The sequence below is a fragment of the Homo sapiens genome, chromosome 15 (assembly GCF_000001405.40).
Source record: "Homo sapiens chromosome 15, GRCh38.p14 Primary Assembly".
In the NCBI taxonomy this organism is placed as follows: Eukaryota; Metazoa; Chordata; class Mammalia; order Primates; family Hominidae; genus Homo; species Homo sapiens.
The window spans coordinates 40382458-40410188 of NC_000015.10; the positions used below are offsets into that span (position 1 = coordinate 40382458).

The 27731-nt window shown below is 45.9% G+C and overlaps 2 protein-coding genes across 25 annotated transcripts in view, besides 8 other annotated features; both read left to right on the forward strand.

Moving 5' to 3' along the window:
• Window positions 264-11831, forward strand: KNSTRN (kinetochore localized astrin (SPAG5) binding protein). Of its 3 annotated transcripts, none has more exons than NM_001142761.1 (9): window positions 264-587; window positions 771-865; window positions 3905-4037; window positions 4702-4749; window positions 7049-7154; window positions 7379-7472; window positions 9036-9097; window positions 9492-9566; window positions 10736-11831. In NM_001142761.1, the coding sequence occupies exons 1-9, from the start codon at window positions 379-381 to the stop codon at window positions 10772-10774; spliced, it is 861 nt and encodes a 286-aa protein (NP_001136233.1). In that variant the 5' UTR covers window positions 264-378; the 3' UTR covers window positions 10775-11831. The 3 variants fall into 3 exon arrangements, with proteins under 3 accessions (NP_001136233.1, NP_150628.3, NP_001136234.1); NM_033286.4 differs by having other exon boundaries at window positions 11012-11831; NM_001142762.1 differs by lacking the exon at window positions 9036-9097 and having other exon boundaries at window positions 11012-11831.
• Window positions 268-337: an enhancer, noted in NCBI's record as "active region_9240". NCBI's record gives its function as "activates an Ori minimal core promoter by ATAC-STARR-seq in GM12878 lymphoblastoid cells {active_cell/tissue: GM12878}" and the evidence as "EXISTENCE:reporter gene assay evidence [ECO:0000049][PMID:35858748]".
• Window positions 268-820: a biological region, named in NCBI's record as "H3K27ac hESC enhancer GRCh37_chr15:40674955-40675478".
• Window positions 297-820: an enhancer, noted in NCBI's record as "H3K27ac hESC enhancer chr15:40674955-40675478 (GRCh37/hg19 assembly coordinates)". NCBI's record gives its function as "activates a minimal SCP1, AML or CMV promoter by ChIP-STARR-seq in naive H9 embryonic stem cells {active_cell/tissue: H9 hESC(naive)}" and the evidence as "EXISTENCE:reporter gene assay evidence [ECO:0000049][PMID:30033119]".
• Window positions 586-755: an enhancer, noted in NCBI's record as "experimental_39392 CRE fragment used in MPRA reporter constructs". NCBI's record gives its function as "activates a minimal promoter by MPRAs in K562 erythroleukemia cells, with activity observed for the introgressed 15:40675329 variant allele {active_cell/tissue: K562}" and the evidence as "EXISTENCE:reporter gene assay evidence [ECO:0000049][PMID:34662402]".
• Window positions 821-1342: an enhancer, noted in NCBI's record as "H3K27ac-H3K4me1 hESC enhancer chr15:40675479-40676000 (GRCh37/hg19 assembly coordinates)". NCBI's record gives its function as "activates a minimal SCP1, AML or CMV promoter by ChIP-STARR-seq in naive H9 embryonic stem cells {active_cell/tissue: H9 hESC(naive)}" and the evidence as "EXISTENCE:reporter gene assay evidence [ECO:0000049][PMID:30033119]".
• Window positions 16043-16112: an enhancer, noted in NCBI's record as "active region_9241". NCBI's record gives its function as "activates an Ori minimal core promoter by ATAC-STARR-seq in GM12878 lymphoblastoid cells {active_cell/tissue: GM12878}" and the evidence as "EXISTENCE:reporter gene assay evidence [ECO:0000049][PMID:35858748]".
• Window positions 21154-21253: an enhancer, noted in NCBI's record as "active region_9242". NCBI's record gives its function as "activates an Ori minimal core promoter by ATAC-STARR-seq in GM12878 lymphoblastoid cells {active_cell/tissue: GM12878}" and the evidence as "EXISTENCE:reporter gene assay evidence [ECO:0000049][PMID:35858748]".
• Window positions 23338-27731, forward strand: part of IVD (isovaleryl-CoA dehydrogenase) — a 30153-nt gene continuing 25759 nt past the window's right edge. For 8 of the 22 annotated variants that reach the window (XR_007064441.1, NM_001354600.3, XM_017022149.2 and 5 more), the window contains exons 1-3: window positions 23338-23514; window positions 25179-25355; window positions 25482-25533. Coding sequence is in view for 19 of the 22 variants with exons in the window: in XM_017022149.2 (XP_016877638.1) it covers window positions 23362-23514; window positions 25179-25355; window positions 25482-25533 (382 nt within the window). In the remaining 3 variants the exon portion in view is untranslated. Of the gene's footprint in view, window positions 23894-25178; window positions 25356-25481; window positions 25534-27731 lie in introns of all 22 variants that reach the window. The other 14 variants (XR_007064442.1, NM_001354598.3, NM_001354601.3 and 11 more) reach the window with 4 other exon arrangements.
• Window positions 24543-25042: an enhancer, noted in NCBI's record as "H3K4me1 hESC enhancer chr15:40699201-40699700 (GRCh37/hg19 assembly coordinates)". NCBI's record gives its function as "activates a minimal SCP1, AML or CMV promoter by ChIP-STARR-seq in naive H9 embryonic stem cells {active_cell/tissue: H9 hESC(naive)}" and the evidence as "EXISTENCE:reporter gene assay evidence [ECO:0000049][PMID:30033119]".

Below are 27731 nucleotides of genomic sequence, written 5' to 3' on the forward strand. Positions count from 1 at the left end.
TAGCTTTGAATCACTACTGAAAATCTGGATAAGTGCTATTAAAATTAGGACCTCAGGTAGGTGCCTCAGGTATCTCAGCCCATAGGTCCTTTTCTTCAAGCCTCACCTGCCACTCTCCACCTGTAACGTGTAGTTTTCATCCAAATAACCTGTGCTCCTGGCAATATCCCTAACAATCCCAAACTAAATAAAGAGGATTGTGACATGGACCCTAAATGTCGCCACGTTTGCGTCTCCATCCCGGAATATGACGCTGGTAGCTCATTAGCTCCATTCAAGCCTACAAATTGCATCACCCTCCTCCTCTGCCCAGACCTGGGGGCTCCAACACCTTTCGCTAGGTCTGGCTCTGGCCTCTGAGCGAACCTTCCGTACAGTATGGCGGCTCCCGAAGCCCCGCCCCTGGACAGAGTTTTCCGTACAACATGGCTGTCTACAGAGTGCGATTCCCACCCACTTCCGCCTAGCTACCGGAAGTTTCTATTTGAAACCCAGGCGGCCGACTTAGCCGGTGGCACGACAGTTGCTGCAGGGAATCTTTTAAACGAGAGCGAGAAGGACTGCGGGCAGGACCGGCGGGCTCCTGGGTTCGGCTCTCCCGGGGCGAGGGACTGGGCTGGATGGGAGGAAGGACGGAATGAGCTGGGAAAGGAGGATTTTCTCTTTTCCAACCCCGAGCCGGGGCCTGTCGGGTCGCGCTATCCCCGGGCCCTCCACTCTCTCGGGCCCAGTGGCCCAGCGCTGGGTAACATTCATCCTGTACCTTCCAGGGTTCAGCCGTGCCGCCTCGTTACGATGACCAGTGTGGTTAAGACAGTGTATAGCCTGCAGCCCCCCTCTGCGCTGAGCGGCGGCCAGCCGGCAGGTGAGGGTCCAAGCCACGCCCGGGGCACTGCGGCCTGGCCGGGGATGGTCTCGGGAGTGTGGAGATCGAATGGGTGGCGCGGGCACGGGGAAGGGCGTCCCGTCGGCCCTGAAAACCTGTGAGCCCCCTATAACCAGGCTATGTAGGTTTATGATGGGAGTTAAGGGAAGGACCATGTGGTAGGATTTTAGACGTGCTCTGCACTTTTCTGCCCGCATGTGTACTGTATTCATCAGTTAGATTCAAGTTGTTGGTTATTGTACAATGTTATTCCCATTAAGCTAGGAATCCCCTTCTAATCGGTTATCGTCTTATTTCCAGACTTGGGCTATCTTGAGGGATTGGGTTTGTTTTCAGGGAGGAAAGAGGAGAATCATTTGAGAAGTGGGATACTTAGGGTTCTTTGTTCACCTTTATATCTGCACCGTGTTTCTCATTACCACATTCTCAATACACGTTTGTTGAGTGAAGTGGGAGAGAGGGGTTAGACCTAGGCACAGTATTTGAGAAACTTGGGCGAAGAGAGAGACATGATTAAAAATAGTTTTTAATTGCTTTGCCATCTGCTTTGTGTTGCTTTGCTTGTGGTTGAAAGTCATCTCATGGGGTCTGCAGTCGGGGAACTGCCTAATCTAGAGATTATAGTACAGAGTAAGCTTCAGACATCAGAAAACTGTTGTGGGAGATTATGGAGTAGCTATTTATGATCCCTTCCCAGATGATTCCACTCAGCTGGTACATAAACCTTGGCAAGATGGAGCGCTGAAGTGGCCAGGCACGGTGGCTCACGCCTGTAATCCCAGCACTTTGGGAGGGCGAGGTGGGCAGATCACGAGGTCAGGAGATGGAGACCATCCTGGCTAACACGGTGAAGCACCGTCTCTACTAAAAAATACAAAAACTTAGCCGGGCGTGGTGGCGGGCGCCTGTAGTCCCAGCTACTTGGGAGGCTGAGGCAGGAGAATGGCGTGAACCCGGGAGGCGGAGCTTGCAGTGAGCCGATATTGCGCCACTGCACTCCAGCCTGGGCGACAGAGCGAGACTCCGTCTCAAAAAAAAAAAGATTGAGCTCTGAAGTAAATAGGCTTTTCTCCAAAGGCTTAATGGGTTGTTTGTTGTCTTGTGTTGCCGCAGAACACCTGAATGGTAATCCTGGCACCAGCGGGGACTAGGAGTTGCTGGAAGAACTGGAGCCAGGTCTCTCAGCTGCTGTGTCTTTCCCTTAGATGCGGTGCCCCTGAGTCAGTGGGCAGTGACTAGCTCTCTCAGCCAAGTTGGAAGTGTTCATCTCTTTGATTTCTATCTCTGTCCCAGCTTTATGATCATATGTAACTGGAACAGTTTCAAATTTTTAGGCTGCCTCCCAGGATTTTTGTTTTGATTTTGAGCGTGGGCTGGATAAGTAATATATGCACATGTGAAAAAAAAAAAGGTGGAAAACCATATACAATGATAAACAAGTTTCCTTCCCTTCCTTGACACCAGCCATCCAGTTCCTCTCCCAGTGTCTCCCATTTTTAAGAGACAGCTTTGTTAAATCCTACTGAATTTTTCCTACAGTGCAATCCTAGATTTTAGCAAATACAAATTATTGGAACCAATTCTAGTCAATGAAGAGTGTTAATTTTGATCAATTGACTGTTAACTCCATTTTACATGGAGTAGATTTGTTATTGTTTAAAACTTACTAATACTTGAGAGAGGAGAAGATGATATTCCTCCAAGATTACCTTTTTCTTCAGACAGACACCTCAGAAAGAACCCTTTTAATACTTCATTTGTACTGCATTTCTTCAATTTGATTTGATTGTAATGGCTCTTAAGTTAGGTCAAACTTAAAGGGGCCATTTTACAGTGAACAAAGTGAGAGTAAGTCCAGAAAAGCCTGCATGTGAGGGTGGGGGTGCTTAACTCCAGATAAGTTACTTGAATTTGCTGTAGAACACAAATGATAGATTGTGTGGTTGCGGGGCTGGCACAAGGATAGAGGAAAATGCTCTCCTTTGGGGAAGAAGAGTGTTATGGCAGGGCCATTTCTCTGGTTATCTGGCAAGAAGATCAGATTAGAATGCCTAATAGGGAAACTCTAAACTTAACAAAGGGTAAACAAAAGGGCTAGTGGTAGAGGCAGGCAGCATGGAAGAGGAAGGGACCAGACAGGTGGTTTAGAGATGGTCTGTGAAACAACCCATGGAACTGTGAAGTGTTTCATTTATTCAACAAGCAGTTATTGAACCCCTGTTCATATGCCAGATACTTTCCTAGGTGATGGGGACACAAAGATGCCTTAGAATGGTTAGGAAGACATTCTAGTAAAAACAACGAAGTAACGGTTTAAAAAAACTCAGAGCAGCTCAGTCATGCCTTAGGAGAGTGTGCAGAGTGCTTGGAGGAGCTTAATGAGATGGTACAAGGATTCAGGCATGTTTTACCTGCTAACTTCCACCCTGCTCTCTGCTGGTGTCCATCTCCATGTTCACTTTTACAGCCTACACCTTTCAGTTCAATGAAACTTTTGGCTACCCTCAAACATGCTGTACTGTCACGTTTAAATAATTTTGGTTTTTATTGCCAATTAGCCTGGAAGTTTTATTCTTTTGAATTAATCTTCACATGTTGAAATTTGCCAGAATGAAAATAAAGATTTGGCCAGGCATCGTGGCTCACGCCAGAGTGGCCAAGGCAGGAGGATTGCTTGAGCCCAGGAGTTCGAGACCAGGCTGGGCAACATAGTGAGACCCTGTCTCTATTTTTAAAATTTTAAAACATATTTGAGGTGCCTATAGTCCAGCTACTCGGGAGGCTGAGGCAGGAGAATCGTTTGAACCCAAGAGGTGGAGGTTGCAGTGAGCCAAGATCACACCACTGTACTCCAGCCTGGGCCACAGAGCAAGACTCTGTCTCAAAAAAATAAATAATACTTTTTAAAATAAAGTAAAATAAAGATTTATGACAACTTCGAATGGGGCTCTGTTTGTTACAGGGTTGCAACTGTCGGGTCATGATGCCAGAAGCTTTACCTCTCATTTTCCTTTGCAGACACACAAACTCGGGCCACTTCTAAGAGTCTCTTACCTGTTAGGTCCAAAGAAGTCGATGTTTCCAAACAGCTTCATTCAGGAGGTCCAGAGAATGATGTTACAAAAATCACCAAACTGAGACGAGAGAATGGGTGAGAACGGATCATTAGTATCCAGTTAGAACATCTTCCTAGAAATTGCTCAATACAAAGAATTAGAAAACAGAGTTTTGGACAACACAAGTCTCCTGAACAACTGGCCTTCAATCAGTGGCCCAGAGCAGTGCAGCATTGCTGAGCTCTGTGCCAGAACCCTCTGTGTTGATCTTTCTGAAGAGACACAGCCAGAGTTATAAGAGGTGTTCTTTCCTCTTTCATCGCTTGCTCTGAGCATACAAGTGGCAGCACTGTAGTCATACAGCAACCCTGAGGGGTAGTCATGCAGGGTGGGGACTAGTTGTTATCCTAGGTTGCTGCTCTGACCACACAGTCCAGCCCTAGTGTGTGTGTATGTCCCCAGCCAGCAGTCAGTTCCAGGTGAGTGAGGTTGACATGAGATAGCCACGCCATCTTGAGAGGAACAGCTCTGTCAGGTTGTTAGGGTGGTCGGAGGCATGCCCCTTTGCTACTAAAAAGCCTTTTCAATAATCTGTGCCGAAGCAGTAATGCATAGTCTCTCAGAGCTCTTAAGCTTGTGCCATTTGCCTTTTATGTCTGGTTCTTTCCTCAGAAACTCAAGCTCTTTGTTCTGCCTGTTCACAGCACACTTAACAGTACTGTAAGTCTCTGATTCATTTCTTTGTTTCTGCCCTCCTAGGCAAATGAAAGCTACTGACACTGCCACCAGAAGGAATGTCAGAAAAGGGTGAGCATCAGGGTAAATCAACTTGGCCACTATTCTAGGGTAGTGGATCTCAATCCTTGGTTCTGCATCAGAATCATTTGTGGGACTTGTTTACTGTGTTAGGGTCTGGGTTCCACCTCAGGAACCTGAGTGGAATTTTCAGGGGTGAGGCACAGCTAGGTGTAAGAACCATTGTCAGTGCAAGAATCACTGGTGCTACTATCTTGTGTCTCAAGCAAGAGCTTTTTGGACTCCACGCCAGGACCACTGCTGATTGGAAATCACACTTAGCTATGGCCCATCAACAGGAGGGTAAAGCCTTCAGGAGAGGAAGGGCTGGGTGTATGTAGTTAGTGATCTCGAGATGAAGATTCTGGTGGTGGTGGTGGTGAAAACCTGGAGAAGGATTCATGTCTCATCTTTGAGGCTAGTTTGGAAGTTTTGCACTATCAGAAATAGAAATAATAAGCTGAAAAGTCTGTACAAATAGGTTTTAGTTCCAGATCTATTATTTGGGCATATCTTAAAAGTTTTGAAGACAGCAGGGCACACCAGCTCACACCTGTAATCGCAACACTTTGGGAGGCCAAGGTGGGTGGATCACCTGAGGTCAGGAGTTCGAGTCTAGCCTGGGAAACATGATGGGACCCCATCTCTACTAAAAATACAAAAATTAGCCAGGCATGGTGGCGCATGTCTGTAATCCCAGCTACTCAGGAGGCTGAGGCAGGAGGATCACTTCATCCCGGGAGGCAGAGATTGCAGTGAGCCAAGATCACGTCATTGCATTCCAGCCTGGGTGACAGAGCAAGACTCTGACTTACAAAAATAAAAAAGTTTTGAAGACAAAATACTAGCAAAAAAGACTGAGAACTTTAAGAAAAAACTCTAATATTGGTTGCTGAGACCAGCTTGGTCGGGGAGACCCTAACCCAGCGGCGCTAGAGGAATTAAAGACACACACACAGAAATATAGAGGTGTGAAGTGGGAAATCAGGGGTCTCACAGCCTTCAGAGCTGAGAGCCCCGAACAGAGATTTGCCCACGTATTTATTAACAGCAAACCAGTCATTAGCATTGTTTCTATAGATAGTAAATTAACTAAAAGTATCCCTTATGGGAAATGGATGGGCTGAATTAAAGGAATAGGTTGGGCTAGTTAACTGCAGCAGGAACACGCTCTTAAGACACAGATTGCTCATGCTATTGTTTGTGGCTTAAGAATGCCTTTAAGGGCCGGCGCAGTGGCTCACGCCTGTAATCCCAGGATTTTGGGAGGCCGAGGCGGGTGGATCTCAAGGTCAGGAGACCATCCTGGTTAACTATGGTGTTTCACCGTCTCTACTAAAAATACAAAAAATTAGCCAGGCATGGTGGCGGGTGCCTGTAGTCCCAGCTACTCGGGAGGCTGGGGCAGGAGAATGGTGTGAACCCAGGAGGTGGAGCTTGCAGTGAGCCGAGACCACGCCACTGCACTCCAGCCTGGGCGACGGAGCGAGACTCCATCTCAAAAAAAAAAAAAAATGCCTTTAAGTGGTTTTCCGCCCTTGGCAGGCCAGGTGTTCCTAGCCCTCATTCCCGTAAACCCACAACCTTCCAGCATGGGCATTAGGGCCTTTATGAACATGTTACAGTGCTGCAGAGATTTTGTTTATGGCCAGTTTTGGGGCCAGTTTATGGCCAGATTTGGGGGGCCTGCTCCCAACAATTGGTGATATTAGAGTTTATTAGATGATAAACTAACATTAGATAATAGCCCAGCTACTGGGCTAAGAAATGCACACGTGTTTTCTCTCTTATTACTCATAATAATAATACTATGAGATGTGGGTATTGTCCTGATTTCAAAAATGAGGAAACAAGGCCTCAGGGAGGTTATGCAACTCACTGAAGGTCATATACCACTGTGTAATAGCCAGGATAGAATGGGACGTGTTTGTGTAACTCTGTAGGCCGTATTTTTCTTTCTTTTTTTTTTAGACGGAGTTTTGCTCTTGTTGCCACCCAGGCTGGAGTGCAATGGCGCAATCTCAGCTCACCACAACCTCCGCCTCCTGGGTTCAAGCGATTATCCTGCCTCAGCCTCCCAAATACCTGGGATTACAGGCATGCGCCACCACGCCTGACTAATCTTTTGTAATTTTAGTAGAGACAGGGTTTCTCTTATCTTGGTCAGGCTGGTCTTGATTTCCCGACCTCAGGTGATCTGCCTGCCTCAGCCTCCCAAAGTGCTGGGATTACAGGCATGAGCTACCGCACCTGGTGTGGGCCATACTGTTAACCCTTTTATCTTTTCATGTAAGTACAACTATTATTACAGCTACAAACCACTGAGTAAGCAAAAATCAGAGGAAGAGCTCAAGGACAAGAACCAGCTGTTAGAAGCCGTCAACAAGCAGTTGCACCAGAAGTTGACTGAAACTCAGGTAAGAGACCCACCAGAGCTCTGTTACCAGCTGCCACTGGGCGATCCACATGGAATCCTGATGGGTGGCCCCTTGGATGAGCAAGCTTGTTAATGCACAGATGCCCAAGGGCAGAAAAAAAAAGCCAGGCTTTTGCTATGGCTGTCCAAGAGCAAGGGCAAGAAAGGGCAACCACCCCTAGGGAGTTGGACAATTCCTGATCTGTCTGTGCTGTGCTCCAATAGGGAGAGCTGAAGGACCTGACCCAGAAGGTAGAGCTGCTGGAGAAGTTTCGGGACAACTGTTTGGCAATTTTGGAGAGCAAGGGCCTTGATCCAGGTAAGAGACAGCACACAGCTAGCCTCCTTTGAAGGAATTGGTGCATGTGCCCCTTCCGGGGTTGATCTTGGCAGCATGGCATCAGCTGGCCCAGTATGTGCAGGGGTTACTTTCATAAAGCCCTAAAGATTTTGGAAAGCTTCTGTTTGTTTTCATGTGATGTTGATTTTTGCCTGGCCAATAGGATTTCAGATGATTATAGAGAGAGGGTTATCTCTTTCTTACCTGAACACTTTATGCCATTCATTTAGTGCCAACAGGTATGACCTTGCAAATAGATGAGAAACACTTTGTTCCTTTCAAGGGAGAACATTTTCTGTCTCTTCCTATTTGGGAAAGTTACTAGTGTGCTTGAAAGGAACATTTTGTTTGAACATGCTCTTCCTTTCAAGCATACTAGTAATCCCAAATGGGAAGAGAAAGAAAATACTATTTCAAGCATTCTTAAACCTGGTTAATCATCAGAATTACAGTGACTAAAATATGACTACTATTCTGACCCTGTCCCCCAGAAAGCAGTATCTGTAGCAAAGAGAGCAGAAGAAGGAATTGCCCAAAGACTGTAAGAGGGCCTCAGACTGAGTCAAAGAGCCAGAGAATGCCCAGGAAAGGGGCCCAGGCCTTTTTGTATTAAGGAATACTGACTTTGAATGTTACTGGTTAATCTTTAGGTTACAGTTGAGGATATTCTTTTTTTTTTTTTGAGATGAAGTCTCATTCCATTGCCCAAGCTGAAGTGCAGAGGTGTGATTTCGGCTCACTGAAACCTCCTCCTCCTGGGTTCAAGTGATTCTCCTGCCTCAGCCTCCTGAGTAGCTGGGATTACAGGCGTGTACCACCACACCCAGCTAATTTTTGTATTTTTAGTAGAGATGGGGTTTTGCCATGTTGGTCAGGCTGGTCTCAAACTCCTGACCTCAAGTGATCTGCCTGTCTCGGCCTCCCAGAGTGCTGGGTTTACAGACATGAGTTACCATGCCCAGCCTAGGATATTCTTTATAGTCACCATAAATATATATGTTTTTAAATTTAAAATTGTTTATTTTTTTGAGATGGGATCTCGCTATGTTGCCCAGGCTGGCCTCCAACTCCTGGGCTCAAGCAATCCTCCCAAATAGCTGGGACTACAGGTGTGCACCACCACATCCGACACCATAAATATTTTGTATGATTTTAGTTTATTACATGCATGTGATATTACCGAAAGTAATAATTTTTTAAGGCCTGAAAGGCTCTTAAAAATAGCTTTGTGAATTGTGAACAAAACCAAAAAAAATCCAACCTATACATTTCCTTTGGACAAATTGTCCACTGACCTAAGGAGAAAGTATACCGAATTTTTGGCCATATCAAAACCTAGATTGAAAGGAGATAAAATACAGTTTTGCAGGGCAGATATGGGTGACCCTGCCAAGGTGAAAACTTAGGAGAAAGTCCAGGATGAGACACTTAAGAGAAATTCCCCTCATGAATATTTCTGTACTTGTCCACGGAGGGTTTTTATTTTCTTTTGTTTAGGGTGTGTAGTTCCCTAAGTGAGATTGACTTTGTTGTATCCATCAGCTTTAGGCAGTGAGACCCTGGCATCACGACAAGAATCCACTACTGATCACATGGACTCTATGGTGAGGGCATGGGTGTGAAAGGGCGCAAGGGCTGAGTGACTGTGGGGCTCTGTAAATCTAAGAAGGTCTCTGCTATATATTCCATAAACTCCAAGAAACAGCCTTTGATTATCTGTGATGCTAGAAAAGAGAAATGGGATGTGTACTCAAAATAGCATATTTTACTTGAAAGGTAGCTTTGTGCTTACAAATATAAGTGAGTCTGAATTGAAAATTTAAAACACATAATAGGTAAACCTGTAGAGAGAGCTTTCTCGTTCTTCTGTTCTATACTTTATCAAATTTCTCTCCTGACTCCTTTGTTGAGAACTGTGTGGAAAGGATGTTAGCCATCATCTAATGCAAGTCTGGTTTTATATGAAGATTTGTTTACTACATTGTGCTTTCCTCTTAGTTGCTGTTAGAAACTTTGCAAGAGGAGCTGAAGCTTTTTAACGAAACAGCCAAAAAGCAGATGGAGGAGTTACAGGTGAGAGGCAGACATCACCCTGACCATTTCCTACCATGATAGGTAGATTTATAGTGGGGTCTTTTCTGTTTTTCTATTTATTTTTAATAAACTTTCTAAATAATTTTAGATTTATAGGAAAGTTACAAAGATAATACAGAAAATTTACCCTGATAGTAACGTGTTTTTTTTTTTCCAACTTTTAAGTTCAGGGGTACACGTACAGGGTGTGTAGGCTTGTTACACAGGTAAACGTGTGCCATGGTGGTTAGCTGCACAGATCATCCCATCACCTAGGTATTGAGCCCAGCATCCATTAGCTATTCTTCTTGATGCACTTCCTCCTCCACCCCCAATAGTAACATCTTACATTATCCTGGTACATTTGTCAAAACTAAGAAATCAGCCAGGCATGGTGGCTCACGCCTATAATCCCAGCACTTTGGGAGGCTGAGGTGGAAGGATTACTTGAAGCCAGGAGTTTGAGACCAGCCTGGGAAACATAACAAGACCCCATCTCTACAAAATAAAATTTAGAAAATAGCCAGGCGTGGTGGTACATACCTGTAGTCCCAGCTGCTCAGGAGGCTGAGGCAAGAAGACCACTTGGGCCCAGGAGGGCAAGGAGATAAAGTCTCACTGTTGTCCCCCAGGCTGGAGTGCAATGGCGTGATCTCGGCTCACTGCAACCTCCGCCTCCCGGGTTCAAGCGATTTTCTTGCCTCAGTCTCCCAAGTAGCTGGGATTACAGGCATTTGCGACCATGACCGGCTAATTTTTATATTTTTAGTAGAGACAGGGTTTCACTGTGTTGGCCAGGCTGGTTTCGAACTCCTGACCTCAGGTGATCTGCCCGCCTAGGCTTCCCAAAGTGCTGAGATTGCAGGTGTGAGCCACTGCACCCGGCAGGAAAAAAATTTTTTAAAAAACAGACCAACATCAGTACATTACTATTAACTATATTCCAAGTCTTCATTTGGATTTTAGCAGTTTTTTCCACTAATTTTTTTTTTTCTGTTACCGAGGCTTCTTGCAAATGTTCACATCACCAAGGCATGAGGCAATGTGTAACACAGTAGGTTGCTCAGAGTTGGGAATTGAGAACTATATGTAATCCATTCTATGGAAACTTGATAACTCAAGGAGAAGACCTGTAGTAAGCACAGATTCTTTGGTCTGGACTGTTTCAGATTGCTTGGATGAATCATGGGATATTGCACCAAATGTAGAGGATTTCATCGTTCCAGTTTAGATACAGGAGTCTAGTCCCTCTCTACTACTAGAGGGACAATTCCTAAAACCAGTGCATAGAAATAAAATCTAAAATAGAAGATACAGTCTGTTGATACTCCAGTGGTCTTCCTTAGTGGAATAGGAGCATAATGTTCTGATGTGGGAATTGTGTTTCCTGTTAGTCAAGAGTTTTGTGTATGTGTTGTTTTCTTTTGGAATGTCTTTCCATGCAGGCCTTAAAGGTAAAGCTGGAGATGAAAGAGGAAAGAGTCCGATTCCTAGAACAGCAAACCTTATGTAACAATCAAGTAAATGATTTAACAACAGCCCTTAAGGAAATGGAGCAGCTATTAGAAATGTAAGAAGAAGCAAGTGGCCAGATGGCTCCCTCTTGGGCATAAAATCTCAGAGGAAGCTACTTAGGACATCATCTTGGCCATGATCTTCTGGGACTCACCATCTCCAGAATGAAAACAATTTCTACAGTAGACTTAAGGACAGTTTATGCTGAAATGGCAATTCCTCATTTAAGCAAGTTTTCCCAACCTTCAGGTTGGTCAGCCCTCCTGAGCCTCACAGGTGGATAATTGAGGCCTACAAGAGAGGGGAGCCTAGGAGCTTGGATTGACCTTCTAGTCAACCACCTGACTTCAGCACACCATTACAATCGGGAGACTAAACCAACAACCAGAGGATCTAAAATGTCACATTCAGATTTTCAGGAAGAAAATCTTCATTACAGTGGAGCACAAATGTTCCATACAAGACATCATTGAGGAGCCATGCTGTCCCCTTCTAACCTGAAACACATTCTTTCCCATCCTGGTTGGGCTTCTGTACCTCCTTATTAATTTATGAACCTGAAGTTGCTTGAAGTGTTTTGGGCTTAATAAATGGGGTGAAAGTATAGGTAGCAGTAACACCTACATGAAACAATACACCTTGGATCTTTTAATCTAAATTACTTTTCTTTTTTAAGTCTACTTTTAAAATAAATACTTCTGTAAATATTCTGACTGTAACATTGAGGAATGAAAATAGCCTTTTAACCTAGATATGTCAGTTGATCATTATTGAACTAATTTAGTTAACAAGTCCAAGATATTCTGACTTAATCTAGAATATTTTTCTGCTACTCTTTAAGAGTCCTGTGGCTAGTCCCTCTGTCTCCCAAGAGCATTGGCTAGTCTCCTGAGGGTGTTGCCCATTTGTAGCAGTGGTTTCACCAGGTCTGTGGCCACTTGCTGCCCATGTTTTCCCTGCACTCTTTTTTTTTTTTTTTTTCTGAGACACAGTCTCACTCTGTTGCCTAGGCTGGAGTGCAGTGGCGTGATCTCGGCTCACTGCAACCTCCACCTCCCAGGTTTAAGCAGTTCTCCTGCCTCAGCCTCCCAAGTAGCTGGGACTACAGGGGCATGTCACCACGCCTTGCTAATTTTTAGTATTTTTAGTAGAGACAGGGTTTCACCATGTTAGCCAGGATGGTCTCGATCTACTGACCTCATGATCCGCCCGCCTCGACCTCCCAAAGTGCTGGGGTTACAGGTGTGAGCCACTGCACCCGGCCTTTTTTTTTTTTTTTTTTTTTGAGACAGAGTCTTGCTTACTCTATCGCCCAGCACAGTGGTGCGATCTCTGCTCACCACAACCTCCGCTGTCTGGGTTCAAGCAATTCTCCTGAGTAGCTGGGATTACAGGCACCCCACCCCCCACCACCACACCCAGCTAATTTTTGTATTTTTAGTAGAGGCGTGGTTTCACCATGTTGGCCAACTCCTGACCTTAAGTGATCCGCCCGCCTCAGCCTCCCAAAGTGCTGAGGCCAGGCATGAGCCACCACACCCTGCCATTTTTGTATTTTTAGTAGAGTCGGGTGGGGTTTTGCCCAGTTGGCCAGGCTGGCCTCTAACCCCTGACCTCAAGTAAGCCACCCACCTCAGCCTCCCAAAATGCTGGGATTACAGGCGTGAGCCACCACGCCCAGCCCTCCCTGCACTCTTAAGCATGATTATCTGCCTGCTGTTTGCTTTGCACAGCCAATCCTAGGCCTGGTCCAATAGATCCTTTAGTACATGGCCTGAAGTCCATGACAGGCCTCCCCCCGGTTTACCAAAGGCATGGCCAAATTTTTTTCTTAACCAAACTAGGCTGACTTTGGCCATCTCCTGTTCTTTCTGCACCTCCTAATTTCTTCTCCAAACCCTCCCACCCCCACCCTTCAGCATCTTTAAGGCTGCCCAGAGACACTCAGTGAAGCCAGTAACACTCCAACCTGAGCTTAAAGGGCCAAAATTGTTTGCCTTCTCATACAGACATTCACAAAGTTGGTTATGTTTCAAATATTTTGAGCCTATCCACTAAAAACTGGTCTTTGGCAAATTCTCTCAAACTGAGTTCATACCAATAAAACTGGTATGAACAGGCTGGGTGCAGTGGCTCATGCCTGTAATCCTGACACTTCGGGAGGCTGAAGTGGGTGGATCACGATGTCAGGAGTTAGAGATCAGCCTGACCATCATGATGAAACCCTGTCTCTACTAAAAATACAAAAATTAGCTGGGTGTGGTGGCACACACTTGTAGTCCCAGCTACTCGGGAGGCTGAGGCAGGAGAATCTCTTGAACCCAGAAGGCGGAGGTTGCGGTGAGCCGAGATGGCACCATTGCACTCCAGCCTGGGTGACAGAACAAGACTCTGTCTCAAAAAAGAAAAAAGTATGAATAAGTTCATACCAATAATACCTGTCTTGCTGGGTGGTTATAAAAGAGAATTATGTCCAGTACCTAACCCAGTGCCTGGCAAAGGTACTCAAATCCTGGTGGTGATATTATTAAAGTTTAAAACTTATCCTGGCAAAAGATTCCCTTCATAAATTCACCCCAAACTTCTATTCCAGTGCCCCCTTCTCCCCACCCCAAAACACAGTCGCTGATCTTACCATGCCTTTGCAGGCCTCAGTTATTCAACTTCCTTCTGACTTGGGAACTCTCAACTTTGACTCTTAAGTTCAAATTGCAACCATCTTAAAACATAAAGCCAAAACCCCACCCTTATCCCCTCCAGCTACCACATATACTATATTCACAGCCAAATATCTCAAGAAGCTATTTCCTTACCATTTTTCTTTCTCTGCCAATCTGGCTTCAAAGTACACAGAAACACTAATGTGATGTAGCTACAGTAGGCAAATCCATCCAAAGTAGAATATAGATTACCAGGGACTGAGCAGGAGGGGAGGGGAGTTTCTCTTTGGGATGATGACATTCTGGAAATGGAAAGTGGTGGTGGTTGCATAACATTGTGCATATACCTAATGCCACTGAATTGTACACTTTAAAATGGTTGAGGCCGGGTGCGGTGGCTCACACCTGTAATCCCAGCACTTTGGGAGGCCAAGGTGGGTGGATTACCTGAGGTCAGGAGTTTGAGCGGCCTGGCCAACATGGTGAAACCCTGTCTCTACTAAAAATACAAAAATTAGCCGGTTGTGGTGGCGGGTGCCTATAGTCGCAGCTACTTGGGTGGCTGAGGCAGGAGAATCGCTTGAACCCGGGAGGCGGAGGTTGCAGTGAGCCAAGATCGTGCCACTGCACTCCAGCCTGGGTGACAAGAGCAAGACTCCATCTCTAAATAAATAAATAAATAAATAAATAAATAAATAAATAAAATAGTTGAAATGGCAAACTTTAACCAGTTTGTTTTTTTTTTTTAATTTGAGGCTTAAAGTGCACTAACCTTAAGTGTACAGGTTCATAAGTTACTGTTGCTGCTGTGGAAGTGAGCACTACTCTACAAAATCACATCCATTAGTATTGTCCTTTCAAGAATTTCATATAAATGGACTCATAGTATATACTTTTTTTGAGAGAGAGAGAGGGTTTCTGTCATCCAGGCTGGAGTGCAGTGGTGCCATCTTGGCTCACTGCAGCCTGGACCTCCTGGGCTCAAGTGATCCTCCTGCCTCAGCCCCCCAAGTAACTGGGACTACAGGCACACACAACCACACCCAGCTAATTTTTGTATTTTTTGTAGAGATGAGGTCTTGCCATGTTGCCCAAGCTGTTCTCCAACACCTCAGCTCATACGATCCGCCTGCCTCGGCCTCCCAAGGTGCTGGGATTACAGGCTTGAGCCACCAAGCCCAGCTCCCCTTTTTTTTTTTTTAAGAGACGGACCAAGGCCAGAGTATAGCTTTAGGCCAGAAGTTCTTGACCAGCCTGGGCAACATGGTGATACTCCTGACTCAAAAAAAAAAAAAAAAAAAAAAAAAAGACAGCATCTTGCTCTGTTGCCCAGGCCGGAGTTCAGAGGCACAATAATACACAATAATAGCTCACTGTAACCTCGAATTTCTGGGCTCAGCCAACTGAATAGCTAGTACTACAGATGAATGCTACCACCCCTCGCTAATTTTTAAATTTTTGGTAGAGCTGGGGGCTCTCACTATGTTGCCCAGGCTGATCTTGAACTCCTGGCCTCCCAGAGTGCCAGGATTACAGGTTTGAGCCACTGCACCCAGCCGAGAATGTACTCTTGTGTTTGGTTTCTTTAGCTCAACATGTCTCTATAATTTGTATCGTTGAATGTATCAGTATTCTCTGGCTAGTGGACATTTGTTTCTATGTTTAGGCTATTAATAAAAGTGCACTGGTTTCTCTTGGATAGATACCCAAGAATAGAACTGCTGAGTCGGAGGGTAAGCAACTCAGTTTTCCAAAATAAATGTACCTGTTTATACCACCACAACAATGTATGAGAGCTGGAGGTTTAGTCAGTCTTTTTTGAAATATATATTTTGGCCAGACACAGTGGCTCATGCTTGTAATCCCAGCACTTTGGAAGACTGGGGCGGGAGGAGTACTTGAGTTCAGGAGTTCAAGACCAGCCTGGGCAGCATAGCAAGACCTCTTCTCTACCAAAAATTTTTTTAAATAGCCAGACGCGATGGTGCACACCTGTAGTCCCAGCTACTCTGGAGGCTTAGGTGAGGGGATTGCTTGAACCAGGGAGAACGAGGCTGCAGTGAGCTGTGAAAGCTCCACTGTGTTGTTGGTGGGCCGGTTCAGGTTCTTGACTTTGGTGAGCAAAAGAATTTGAGAGCAAATCCAAAGTAAAAGTAGGCAAAGTAGTTTATTGCAAAGTGAAAGTACACTCTTGATAGCTGGGCCAGAGAGGGCTACTTGAGAATGAGACAGCCCCATCCTACACTGGGGAAATTACCTTTATGAGAAGCTTATATAATTATTCATTAAAGGGTGGGAATGAGTGTTGCTGTTAAGCATGTTGTGGAAGGTCTTCTGGATGAGCACACACTATTGCTATACATGCCAGTATATACATTGCATGTCTCATTAGCATTGTAATTCTCCATCCTGGGGTGTGTTTTTACTGTTAAATGAGTATAGGTCAACCTAAAGACACTGACCAAGGGTTTCTGTCCCTGTGCAAGCTCGAGGTTTTTTCCCCTTTTACTCTTTTTCCTCCTTGCAGCAGGATGTTCTGACCACGAGTTCCTGATGCGGTTTGTGCAGCGTTGAGCTGTGCTCTCCATCTGTCTGTTTGGCAAGTATCTTCTTCCCCTTTAAGTGAGGCTGTGACCAACCTACCTGATCTATCTCAACTGCACTCCAGCCTAGGCTACAGAGTGACACCGTGTCTCAAAAGATAGTAATAATTTATATATTTGGGGATAATTTTAGATTTATGGAAAAGTTGCAAAGATAGTCCAGAGAATTCCCATATACCCCTTCCCCAGCTTCCCCTAATGTTAACATCTCACAATACCATGGCACATTTGTCAAAACTAAGAAACCAGCATCAGTAGATCATTATTAACTAAACCCTGGGCTTTATTTGGATTTCATTGGTCTGTCTACTAATGTAGTTTTTCTGTTTTAGGATCTCGTTCAGGATGCCATATTGTATTTTGTCATTAGTTATTATGTCTCCTTAGTCTCCCCTGGTCAATGACAGTTTCTCAATCTGTTTCTGTTTTTCATGACCTTGACAGTTTCAAGGAGTAGCGGTCAGATATTTTGTAGAATATCCCTCAATTTGGATTTGTCTGATTTTTCTTTCTTTTTTTTTTTTTTTTTTTTGATGATTAGACTGTGGTTATGTGTTTTAGGGAAGAATACCACATATGTAAAGTGTACTCAACGCATCATATTGAGAGGTGAAGCCAGCTGGACTTCTGGGTCGGGTGGGGACTTGGAGAACTTTTCTGTCTTACAAGAGGATTTTAAAATGCACCAATCAGTGCTCTGTAGCTAGCTAGAGGTTTGTAAAATGCGCCAATCAGCACCTTGTAAAATGGGCCAATCAGTGCTCTGTAAAATGGACCAATCAGCAGGATCTGGGCGGGGACAAATAAGGGAATAAAAGCTGCCCCCCAGCCCCGCCACCACCCCCCAACCCCAGCCAGCGGTGTCTAGCAGCTCGGCTCCCCATCCAGGTTGTGGAAGCTGTTCCTTTGCTCTTCAGAATAAATCTTGCTGCTGCTCACTCTTTGGTTCCATGCCACCTTTAAGAGCTGTAATACCACGAAGGTCCACAGCTTCATTTTTAAAGTCAGCGACACCAAGAACCCACCAGAAGGAACCAGCTTTGCACACGATATTACAGGTATATAACATCAACTTGACTTGTTGCTAGTGATATTAACTTTGATCACTTGGTTAAGGCAGTGTTAGCCGGGTTTCTCCACTGTAAAGTTACTGTTATACTCCTTCCATACTCTCTTTAGAAGTCATCACTAATTCCAGCCACTCTCAAGGGGAGTAAGAACTATCTACCTGTCTATATTGTTTGGAATTCTTCTGTAAGGAGGATTTCTGCCTTCTCCCTCCCATTTATTTATAACAATATAAACATGTTTGTTTTTTTCTGTTCTTTTTTTTTTTTTTTTTTTTTTTTTTTAAGACAGTCTTGCTCTGTGGCCCAGGCTGGAGTACAGTGTTGCGATCTTGGTTCACTGCCACTTCGCCTCCCAGTTTCAAACGATTCTCCTGCCTCAGCCTCCTGAGTAGCTGGGACTACAGGTGCACACTACCTTGCCTGGCTAATTTTTGTATGTTTGCAAAAATGAGGTCTCATCAAGTTGACCAGGCTGGTCTCAAACTCCTGACCTTAGGTGATCTGCCCACCTTGGCCTTCCAAAGTGCTGGAATTATGGATGTAATTATATACCACACCTGGCCTGTATGAACAAGTTTTTACTTTGTTTTTTCAACTTTTATGTTCAGGGGTGCATGTGCAGGTTCGTTACATAGGTAAACTGCCTGTCACCCAGGTGACGAGCATGGAACCCGATAGGTAGTTTTCTGATCCTCACCCTCCACCCACCCTCCACCCTCAAGTAGGCCCCAGTGTCTGCTGTTGCCTTCTTTGTGTCTGTGTGTACTCAATGTACTCAACTCCCATTTATAGGAGAGAACATGCAGTATTTTATGTTTTTACTTTATACTTTCATTTGTTCGATTTTTACCTTACTTTGTTGCTCAAAGCTTTATTGTTCACCTTTCATATTAAGGTTTATTATCTACCTCTAATCTTTTGTATCATATGAAATCGGAGTCTTGCTCTGTCGCCCAGGCTGGAGTGCAGTGGTGCAATCTCGGCTCACTGCAAGCTCCGCCTCCCGGGTTCACGCCATTCTCCTGCCTCAGCTTCCCAAGTAGCTGGGACTACAGGTGCCCGCCACCACGCCCGACTAATTTTTTGTATTTTTAGTAGAGACGGGGTTTCGTCGTGTTAGCCAGGATGGTCTCGATCTCCTGACCTCGTGATCCGCCCAGCTTGGCCTCCCAAAGTGCTGGGATTACAGGCATGAGCCACCGTGCCCGGCCTTCTTTTGTAATGTTTCTTGTAAGATTTTTGGTATCAGGATTATATTGGCCTCATAAAATGAGTTGAAATAATAAGTTTGGTATTATTTCCTTTTTTTTTTTTTTTTTTTTTTTCCGAGACGGAGTCTCGCTCTGTTGCCCAGGCTGGAGTGCAGTGGCGCAATCTCGGCTCACTGCAAGCTCTGCCTCCCGGGTTCACGGCATTCTCCCGCCTCAGCCTCCCAGTAGCTGGGACCACAGGCGCCCGCCACCACGCCCGGCTACTTTTTTTTTTTTTTTTTTTTTTTGTATTTTTAGTAGAGACGGGGTTTCACCATTCACAGGATGGTCTTGATCTCCTGACCTTGTGATCCGCCCACCTCGGCCTCCCAAAGTGATGGGATTACAGGCTGAGCCACCGGGTATTATTTCTTGTTTATTCTCTCTTAGGTTTATACCCATATTTTTTTTTCTTTTTCTTTTTTTTTTTTTTTGGTTTGAGACGGAGTCTTGCTCTGTCGCCCAGGCTGGAGTGATGTGGCGTGATCTCCACTCACTGCAACCTCTGCCTCCCGGGTTCAAGCGATTCTACTGCCTCAGCCTCCCGTGTAGCTGGGACTATAGTCTCCCGCCACCATGCCCGGCTAATTTTTTGTATTTTTAGTAGAGATGGGGTTTCACTATGTTGGCCAGGCTGGTCTTGAACTCCTGACCTCGTAATCCGCCCGCCTCGGCCTCCCAAAGTGCTGGGATTACAGGCGTGAGCCACCGCGCCCGGCCTATACCCATATTTCTTACTTAAGTATTTGGAAGAATTCATTAGTGAAGTCATTTACGCTTGGAGTTTTCTTCATGGAAAGTTTTTCATTGTGGATTTCAATTTATTTAGTAGATATAGGACTATTCAGATTTTCTGTTATGTCAGTTTGTGTCAGTTTGATTTGTCTATTTCATCTACATTATCAAATGTATTAGCATAAATTGCTCAAAATATCCTTATCTTTTTCATATCTGTAGGATTTGAGAGCTGTCCCCTTTTTAATTCTTGATATCAGACATTTGCAATTTCTCTTTTTTTCTTGATAAGTCTTGCTAGCGGTTTATCAATTTTTAAAATCTTCTTTTTATTTTAGGAGATAGGGTCTTTCTATGTTGCCCAGACTAGACTCCAACCCCTGGGCTCAAGCAATCCTCCTGCATCGGCCACCTGAGTAGCTGGGATTACAGGTATGTACCACAGCACCCAGCTTAATTTTGTTAATCTTTTTATTTTTTGTTTTTAATTTTTTTAGAGACAGGGTTTTGTTCCGTTGCCTAGACTGGAGTACAGTGGCCTGATCATTACACACTGTGACCTCAAACTCCTGGGTTCAAACCATCCTCCTGTCTCAGTCTCTCAAGAAGCTGAGACTACAAGCACAACCCACCACCGCTGGCTAATTTTTAAAATTTTTTGTAGAGACTGGTCTTATTGTGTTGCTCAGGCTGGTCTCGAACTCCTCACCTCAAGTGATCCTACTGCCTCAGCCTCCCAGAATGTTGGAATTACAGGCGTGAGCCACCATGCCTGGCCCACATTACCTCTTAAGATGACTCAAAAGCGCTTCAAACATAATTGTGCCCAAAACAAGCTCAAAGTCTTTCCTCTCAGACCTGATTCTTTTCCAGTGAACCTACACATTTATTGTAGGTTTGAGTTAAGAAAAGTGCCAACAGTGCAACACATAAATAGGCAAAGGACATGATCTGACAGTCCACAGAAAAATAAGGGCTTTCGGTATGAAAAAATCCTCCACCTCATTCATAAGAAGAAAAACTAAGTTGTATCTATACAATGGAATAGTCTTTAAAAAAAGAAAAAAGAGGACGCTCTTAACATAGTGATATGCCAAGATCTCCAAGATACATTGTTAAGTGTAAGAAGAATATATATTCATAATTGCTTGTATTTACATAAAACTGTGGAATATTTAAGAAACTAATAAAGGTGGGCTGGTACAGTGGCTCATGCCTGTAATCCAAGCAGTTTGGGAGGCCAAGGCAGGAGGATTGCTTGAGGCCAGGAATTTGAGACCAGCCTGGGTAACATAGTGAGACCCTCATCTCTACAATATACATACATATATATATATATGTATGTATATGTGTATAGATGTATATATTAGGCCGGTGGCATGTGCCTGTAGTCCCATCTACTTGGCAGGCTGAGGCCAGAGGATTGCTTGAGTCCAGTCATGGCAGTAAGCCATGATTGTGCCACTGTGCTCCAGCCTAGGTGACAGAGATCCTGTCTCAAAAAAAAAAAAAAAAAAATTTAATTTCAACCTGATTTAAAAAAAAAAAAAAGCGGCCGGGCGCGGTGGCTCACGCCTGTAATCCCAGCACTTTGGGAGGCCAAAGTGGGCGGATCACGAGGTCAGGAGATCAAGATCATCCTGGCTAACACGGTGAAACCCCGTCTCTACTAAAAGTACAAAAAATTAGCCAGGCGTGGTGGCAGGCGCCTGTAGTCCCAACTACTCGGGAGACTGATGCAGGAGAATGGTGTGAACCCGGGAGGCGGAGCTGGCAGTGAGCCGAGATGGCGCCACTGCACTCCAGCCTGGGCGACAGAGTGAGACTCCGTCTTAAACAACAACAACAACAAAAAAGCAGTGCTATGATCGGGTGTTAACTTCTCAGTAGTACTTCAAATTATGGTGAGGGGGTGAGTTAGAAGCTGAGGAATGGGTGCAGGGAAGTTGGATGTGGTATGAATGATCTAAAAATGAGAGCAATGTGCCAAGTACTGTGCTGAATCATTAAGTATGCAATCTCTTTTATTCCTCATAGTAGCCTTAAAGTTGGTTGGTATCATTTTCGTTTTAAAGATGATGAAACAGTGACTGAAAAGATCTAAGAAACTTGCCGAAAGTCCCACAGCTATGTAGTGGGATTGCATAGACTCCTGGACTCAGGGTACCAACCTGAGATGAGTTGTTCAAGAGCATTGACTTGGCTGGGTTCCGTGGCTCATGCCTGTAATCCTAGCACTTTGGGAGGCCAAGACAGGAGGATCACATGAGCCCAGGAGTTCAAGATCAGCTTGGGCAACATAGTGAGACTGCCCACCCCCACCCCGGCCCCATCTCTAATTAATTAATTAAATTTTAAAAATAACATTGACACAACATGGAGGAGGAAAATAGAGCAAGTGGAGAGGGGATAGAGACTTAATTCCATCAGCTCCCCTCTTTCCCCTCACCACTCTTCCTTTCCCTGTGTCCCGAACCCGTGTTTCTAAGTCCTGACTGCTATTATTCTGGTGTATTAAATACATACTATTTACTATTTAATACATCTTTTGTTGTTGTTTGTTTTCTCAAATTTTTTGTGGAGACAGGGTCTCCCTATGTTGCACAGGATGGTCTTGGACTCCTGGCCTCGAGCGATCTTCCCACCTAAGCTCCCAAAGTCCTAGGATTACAGGCATGAGCAACCATGCCCAGCCTATTTAATACATCTTATTTAATATATAGTATAATACGTAAATATGTACTATTTAATATTTAACACATATTAAATACAAATGGTCCCCAACTTACAATAGTTCAACTTAAGATTTTTCAACTTTATGATGGTGTGAAAGTGATAGACATTGAATAGAAACTGTACAATATTCAATAAATGATATCTAACACTGTCTTATAAAATATGCTTTGTGTTACATGATTGTGCCGTTATAAGCTATTATAAGTGTTCCAAGTACGTTTAAGGTCCACTAGTCTAAGCTATGATGTTTGGTAGGTTAGGTGTTTTTTTGTTTTCTGTTTTGAGACGGAGTGTCACTCTTGTTGCCCAGGCTGGAGTGCAATGGCGTGATCTCAGCTCACCGCAACCTCCACCTCCCGGGTTCAAGCGATTCTCCTGCCTCAACCTCCTGAGTAGCTGGGATTACAGGCATGCACCACCACGCCCAGCTAATTTTTGTATTTGTAGTAGAGACAGGATTTCTCCATGTTGGCCAGGCTGGTCTAAAACTCTCCGCCTCAGGTGACTCACCCGCCTCGGCCTCCCAAAGTGCTGGGATTACAGGTGTGAGCCATCATGCCCGGCCTAAGTGTATTTTCAAAGTGCATTTTTGACTTACAATATTTTCCATTTATGATGGGTTTATCGAGAAGTAACCCCACTGTAAATCGAGGCGCATCTCCAATCTAGAAGGCAGCTACTCCTTAATAACCCCTTTCCCATAAAACATGAATCTAAATCTACAAACCTTGTTATATAATAAAGCAAGATGTACTCTGTTATGATCAGTGTGCACGTTAGAGCAAGCACTACTTTTCCGATCTTAATTATTCCAGAGATGCTTGACCAATTTACTGGGTACGTGGGCAGTTTTCTGATTGCTGTTTCCACACTCTGCTTTCCCACAGAGAGATTTCCGCAGTTAGGGGCTGCTATTTCAACGCAGGGAGATAAAAAGAAAAAAACACTTGCTCTTCTACCCCGCTAAAAACACTCATCCTAGGGAGCACGCCAGCATTTGCAGCGTTCGGGGCAGGGCCACTCGGCCTGCGGCCGTTGCACTGGCTGGAAGCTGGCAGGCGATCACGGTTGATTGGCTCGGGTGCGGTCCAAGGGCAGCAACGCCTTCGGCGGGCCGCCTAGGGTGATTGGCTGCTGCAGCCCACCCCCTAGCCGGTTTGGTGGGCGGCGAAGCCTGGATTGGTGGAGCTAAGAGCTGGCTCAGTTTCAGCGCTGGCTCTTCGTGCATGGCAGAGATGGCGACTGCGACTCGGCTGCTGGGGTGGCGTGTGGCGAGCTGGAGGCTGCGGCCGCCGCTTGCCGGCTTCGTTTCCCAGCGGGCCCACTCGCTTTTGCCCGTGGACGATGCAATCAATGGGCTAAGCGAGGAGCAGAGGCAGGTGAGGAGACTGACCCCCTTCCTGGCCCCAAGGCCTCCTTCCTGCCTGGTCCCCAAGGCCTCCTTCCTGCCTGGTCCCCATCGGCCCAGCGCCCACCCAGCCTTGGCTTTTGCCCGTGGGCCGTTGGGAGCGCCAGCGCGGGGGCGGGACGCGGGGCCTCCGACCTCGGGTCCAGTCCTCTGACCTCGGCCTCACGTCTGTGGAGTGAAGATTTGAGACCGTGGGACAGTACTGCTGGAAGTAGAGAGGAGGAGTCGAGGCTGGGAGAGCTCCTGAGAGACTGATGGTGTTTTGGTGGAGGATTGGCCAGGCTACCTACCGCTTGTGGCACAAGGGCCCTCAATCTGTATGTAGTTCACTTACACCTGAACAGGCTGAGGTATGCTTCTCACACCTGGGTGGTCATCGTAATCACCAGGGAGTCTTTTTTGTATAAACAGTTTGGGGGTTTTAAAAAGCCACAGTGAGCTCTCCTGTCGCTCTTCAGCCCATTGGGTCAAAACACAAAAGTTGAACAAGTACTTGAAAGAAGTAGTTGGAGGCCAGGCGCCGTGGCTCACACCTGTAATCCTAGCACTTTGGGAGGCCGAGGTGGGAGGATTGTTTGAGCTCAGGGGTTTGAGATCAGCCTAAGCAACATAGCCAGACCCCCATCTCATAAAAAATAGAAAAGAAGACGAAGTAGTATTTACAAATGGAGCAGAACCAGAGTCCTTCCTGAGGTTTCACTTGGAGGCTGGATGGAGTTGGCGGAGGTATGAGCCTCCCAGCAACTCCGTAGTTTATGTTTATAGCCAGCGAGCGCTCAGAGCTTCCGTGAACCACCTCAAGTGGAAAGGGTTCAATCCCTATTCTCAAGCTTTCCTGGCAAGAGGAGTTTCTTTTCTTTTTTCTTTTTTTTTTTTTTTTGAGACGGAGTTTCACTCTTGTTGCCCAGGCTGGAGTGTAATGGCGCGATCTCCGCTCACCACAACGTCCGCCTCCCGGGTTCAAGTGATTCTCCTGCCTCAGCCTCCCAGGTAGCTGGGATTACAGGCATGCACCACCACGCCCGGCTAATTTTGTGTTTTTAGTAGAGACGGAGTTTCTCCATGTTGGTCAGGCTGGTCTCAAACTCCCAACCTCAGGTGATCCTCCTGCCTCGGCCTCCCAAAGTGCTGGGATTACAGGCATGAGCCACCATGCCCAGCCGCCAAGAGGCGTTTCTAATCTCTTTGGGTAATCAGACCCTTTTAGCCAAAGGTTCGGGGGCTTAAAAGAGCCTGACAACTATTGAGATCTGGCAGCTGCCTGGAATGCAGCTGGAGCACAGAGGGTGGGAGGTGGGAAGGTGCTGGGGAAGCTAGGAGAGTCAGCTGGGGTCAGCTCCTGCAGGGCCTAGTAGGCCTGGGTGAGAAGCTTGTGTTTTATTCTAAGTACAGTGGAAACCAATGGAATGATTTTTATGTAAAGTGTGACGTTTTAAAAATTACCATCAAGCTGTCTAGGCTGAAGACCTTAAGAAAGAGGGGTGAAGATCATCTCTGAGGAGGCATAAACTACTGAGGCCTCTCAGTTTCAGTCTGATGCTGTTTGGGGAAGTTACTTGTGGCCTTTTCTCTTGAATGTGTCTGGGTAGTGGAGATGCTGTCTGCAGTGGCATCTGTTTACCTCTCTCCTATTAGCTTCGTCAGACCATGGCTAAGTTCCTTCAGGAGCACCTGGCCCCCAAGGCCCAGGAGATCGATCGCAGCAATGAGTTCAAGAACCTGCGAGTGAGTTGGGAGGTCCGGGCAGTCGGGGGCAGTCAGGGAGTGGGGCTGAGCTGCACTGCTGCCTGGAAGAGCTCACACAGTTTTCTGGTAAATGAAGCCTCTCTAAGAATGCAGCCCCTCTCTCTGAAGTGTTTGGGTCTCATTGTTCCAGCCACATGTGACTGGCTGCCTTCCCCTCAACACTTATTCCACTCTGCTCCATTCTGTTGGCAGGAATTTTGGAAGCAGCTGGGGAACCTGGGCGTATTGGGCATCACAGCCCCTGGTGAGTATAGTGTCTTTCCCTAAAAAGAACTTTTCTTATGTGCCCTTTAAGACAGTTCCCAAAAGAAGCAGGAAGGGAAGGGAAAGATTGTGCTTAAAGAAACCCAGAACTGCATCTTTTGGACCTGTGAAAGCACCCATTGATTGTCAGCCCAGAGAACAGGACACTCTTCTATTTTATTAGACAGTGATGTAGAGAAGGCAGAGGGATTAATTAGGTCATTGTGGCTCACTTGGATCAGGATCAGTCCAACTCTTGAACTCTGCATACTTAATAGGCTCACCCAGGTGATTTGGGAAGTTTAGAAAACTCTGGATCAAGTGGTTGTCTTCATAGTACCTCAGTCTTACTGCCTCCCCTAATCCCTATAAGCTTTGTCCTACCAGTGGCCTCTCGGCAGGAACACTCTGGGCAGGTGTGTCCCTGCAGGGACTGCCTGTGTCCTCTTCTGCTTAAACCTTGGAGCTCATTTGGGAGCAGATAGCGGGGGGAGTAGGGTAGGGGCTGGGCAGGGGAGAGAGATGTCTATCTGGGCTTCCAGGTGAGGTGGCCAGATGATGTGTTTAATAGGCTGTCCGGAGGGAGAAGGCAGGGAGCTAGCAGGCTCTGGTTTGGATGATATTAACGTCTGAAAGAGGCCCAGACTGGCTTGCAGTGCCCGGTAAAGAGATGAGCCTAGGCCAGGCGTGGTTGCTCACACCTGTAATCCCAGCACTTTGGGAGGCCGAGGCAGGTGGATCACCTGCGGTCGTGAGTTCGAGACCAGCCTGACCAACATGGAGAAACTCTGTCTCTACTAAAAATACAAAATTAGCTGGTCATGGTGGTACATCCCTGTAATCCCAGCTACTCGGGAGGCTGAGGCAGGAGAATTGCTTGAACCTGGGAGGCGGAGGTTGCAGTGAGCTGAGATTGTGCCACTGCACTCCAGCCTGGGCAACGGAGCGAAACTCCGTTTCAAAAAAAAAAGCCCAGCCTGCTTGGGCCTGTATTCACTCTGGGCATGAGAGTATGAGTGGAACCCAATATACTTCTCCTTACATCCTAGAAAGTTATATCACCTTTCATAAAATGAAACCACTTGAAGATTAATTGAAACCATCTTAATGTAAAAGCATTAGGGGAAAGGCTGCTGGGTACTCCTAAGCAAGACTCTCCTACTGTGTTTTGGGGGTTTATGTACCCCACTCCCTGCAGACAATATGCTTCTGAATCAGATTGTATTTTACGGAAGAAAGAGGCAGTTAGAAATCAGATGAAAATGGCCAGGTGTGGTAGTGGGCTCCTATAATCCGAGTGACTCGGGAGGCCAAGGCAGGAGGATCGCTTGAGCCCAGGAGTTCAAGGCTGCAATGAGCCATGGTTACACCATTGCACCCCAGCCTGGATAAGAGAGTGAGAGCCCGCCTCTTGAAAAAAAAAAAGAAAAGAAATCAGATGAAAACTCTTTCAAGGGAACCTGAAAAAGAAAGCTGGTTACAAGTTCTGGTTTCTGCATGATGTCATGGTGGCTGTTTCTAATGTCACCTGCCTTCAGGCTTTCCTTCCTGCAGTTGTAGGGGCAGGTCAAGGTTTCCTTAGAGCCTAGAACGAGCCTGACTTATTGGTCAGAGTGAACATGTGTATAGGACCTTGCTAGGCTTGACCCAATCAGCAGGGCTGGGGGTGGTATCAGGTGTCTCAGCCACTTGGAGTTTGGATCTGCTGCCAAGGAAAAACCGTATATTTTATGAGGAGTTCTGAAATTCTCTGCCAGCATCTCATCTGCCCTCTGCTGTACAGCTCACCTCAAGATTTTCCCTGAGGCTGTGGCTCTCCTGTCCTGTCACCAGTCCTGCTTCTTTCTTTTTTTTTTTTTTTTTTTGAGACAGAATCTCACTCTGTCGCCCAGGCTGGAGTGCAGTGGCGCGATCTCGGCTCTCTGCAAGCTCCACCTGCCAGGTTCACACCATTCTCCTGCTTCAGCCTCCCGAGTAGCTGGGACTACAGGCGCCCGCCACCATGCCCGGCTAATTTTTTGTATTTTTAGTAGAGACGGGGTTTCACCGTGTTAGCCAGGATGGTCTTGATCTCCTGACCTCGTGATCTGCCCACCTCAGCCTCCCAAAGTGCTGGGATTACAGGCGTGAGCCCCATGCCTGGCCTCCAGTCCTGCTTCTTTGGGTTCAGCCCTATGCTATAAAATCTCACCTTCCTCA

Bases quoted from the DNA above. Each gene is read 5' to 3' on its own strand.
- KNSTRN (NM_033286.4), top strand. From the start codon at position 379: ATGGCGGCTCCCGAAGCCCCGCCCCTGGACAGAGTTTTCCGTACAACA. The intron at 588-770 runs GTTCGGCTCTCC...TGTACCTTCCAG, and splicing joins CAGGACCGGCGGGCTCCTGG to GGTTCAGCCGTGCCGCCTCG. The intron at 4,750-7,048 runs GTGAGCATCAGG...CTATTATTACAG, and splicing joins AGAAGGAATGTCAGAAAAGG to CTACAAACCACTGAGTAAGC.